The sequence below is a fragment of the Homo sapiens genome, chromosome 13 (assembly GCF_000001405.40).
Source record: "Homo sapiens chromosome 13, GRCh38.p14 Primary Assembly".
NCBI lineage: Eukaryota > Metazoa > Chordata > Mammalia > Primates > Hominidae > Homo > Homo sapiens.
The window spans coordinates 23,140,038-23,142,707 of record NC_000013.11 but is presented as its reverse complement, the minus strand read 5'-3'; positions in this window follow the sequence as shown (position 1 = coordinate 23,142,707).

Below are 2,670 nucleotides of genomic sequence, written 5' to 3'. Positions count from 1 at the left end.
CCCTGAGCTAGACACAGAGTGCTGATTGGTGCATTTATAATCCTCCAGCTAGACATAAAAGTTCTCCAAATCCCCACCTACTCAGGAGCCCAGGTGGCTTCACCTAGTGGGTACTGCACCAGAGCCACCTGAGGAGCTGCCTGCCACCAGAACTGCCCACCAGTCCCGCCCTGCATGCCCACACTCCTCTGTCCTTGGGCAGTTGATGGGACGAGGCACTGCGGAGCAGGGGAAGGTGCCAATGGGGAGGCTCTGGCCTTGAGGGAGCCCGTGGCTTGGGGCTCAGGCATGGCAGGGGGTCAGGCATAGTGGGCTGCAGGTTCCGAGCTCTTCCCCCGTAGGAAGGCAGCTGAGACCGGCGAGAATTTAAGGGCAGCACGGGCAGGTGGCAGTGCTGGGGGACCTGGCACACCCTTCACAGCTGCTGGGCCGGGTGCTAAGGCCCTTACTGCCCGCCGGTCTGCCGCTCTGCGTGCGGGACCTGCTGAGCCTGTGCCCACTCGGAACTTTCGCTGGCCTGCGAGTGCCATGGACAGCCCCAGTTCCTGCCTGTGCCTTTTCCTCCACACATCCCGCAAGCAGGGGGAGCCAGCTCCGGCCTTGGCCAGCCCGGAGAGGGGCTCCCACAGTGCAGTGACGAGCTGAAGGGCTCATCAAGCGTGGCGAGAGTGGACGCCGAGGCTGAGGCGGCACCGAGAGTGAGCGAGGGCTGCTAGTACGTTATCACTTCTCAGTCCCAGCTGCTGGGGAGGCTGAGGCAGGAGAAGGGCGTGAACCCAGGAGGCAGAGCTTGCAATGAGCCAAGATCGCACCATTGCACTCCAGCCTGGGCAACAAGAGTGAAACTCCATCTCAAGAAAAAAAACAAAACAAAACAAAATACAGTTTTTGTGGGTTCCTCCATAAGAAACATAGAACTTTATGTTATTTAATATTTTTATAATATTCTCTTCACTGCTGTCTCCCAATGTCTGCTTTTTTTTTTTTTTTTTTTTTTTTTTTTTTTTTGAGAGGGAGTCTCTCTTTGTTGCCCAGGCTAGAGTGCAGTGGCGTGATCTTGGCTCACTGCAACCTCCGACTCCTGGGCTCAAGCGATTCTCCTGCCTCAGTCTCCCAAGCTGGGATTACAGGCATTTGCTATTACGTGGAGCTAATTTTGTGATTTTAGTAGAGACAGGGTTTCACCATGTTGGTCAGGCTGGTCTCAAACTTCTGACCTCAGGTGATCCGCCTCCTCGGCCTCTCAAATTGCTGGGATTACAGGCATGAGCCACCATGTGTGGTCTGTTTTTTTTTTTTGTTTGTTTGAGACGGAGTCTCCCTCTGTCACCCAGGCTGGAGTGCAGTGGCGTGATCTCTGCTCACCGCAAGCTCTGCCTCCCAGGTTTATGCCATTCTCTTGCCTCAGCCTCCCGAGTAGCTGGGACTACAGGTGCCCACCACCATGCCTGGCTAACTTTTTGAATTTTTGGTAGAGACGGGGTTTCACCGTGTTAGCCAGGATGGTCTCAATCTCCTGACCTCCTGATCCACCCACCTCAGCCTCCCAAAGTGCTGGGATTACAGGCTTGAGCCACCGTGCCCGGCCCTATTTGGTTCTTTATGTTGATAGGGAAATGTATTTTTCATAATGATAATTAGATTAAAATTCGCTGTATGACTTCCAAAATCTTAAATTGTGAAAAATAGGACTAGTATAATTGGCTGCCCATCTGAGGGGGGAAATGAAGGGGAAAAAGGGGAAATAATTGTTTAAAAAATAAGCATCATTTAACAAAAGCGCATCAAAAAATTATAAGTACAATGGCAATATGATGGACTCTGGATTCTCTAATTCAAAATTTTTCCTATCCTCTTCTAACAGGAAGAGGCAGGAAAGCTCAAAACTAGATTCTCCAGTCTCTGCTGAAGCTGACTTCTCAATGTGATGAGGTTCCAGGTGACATATGCTCTCAGACACCCAGTAAAGCCTTTGATTTGGGACTGAGTCAGCTCAGCTGTTTGAGACAGAAGTTGGAAGCAGGCCACTCAAGTTTGTTGACACGAATCATGACATGGAAACTGAATCATGTATTTGATAGTGGTGATAACCCGTCATTAGGAAATATGAATGCTTTTGAATGACCATGGATCATTGAAAAAACAAGGACATTATGTACTGAGCTATAAGGTGAAACTCAATAATTTACCAAAAGTAGAATTTTCACAGTTAAAACATGGTAAGAATCTTACTTAAAATTGTCAATTAAAGTGGAATAAAACTAGAAATTAGATAGCAAAAATATCCAATTAAATGGTTCTTACCCAAAGGGGCAGCGCTCTGACCTTCTTGGGGAGTATTTGGAAGCGAGTGGGGGCATTTTGGTTGTCGGAAGCCCCCACCACAGTTGGCATTGGTAGGCAGGGCGCAGGGGGGGGATATATATCCTGAAATCGATGGGAGAATCCTTCTCTCTCAGGGAAGTTGCCCTTTACAAGTGCAAAGGGTGGCTGATAAGGAAACACTGTCCTAAGCACTGGAATTTTAAAGAATAAAGCATTAAAAAAAGAGATTAAGGCCAGGCGTGGTGGCTCATGCCTGTAATCCTAGCACTTTGGGAGGCTGAGGTGGGCGATCACCTGAGGTCAGGAGTTCGAGATCAACCTGGCCAACATGGTGAAACCCTGTCT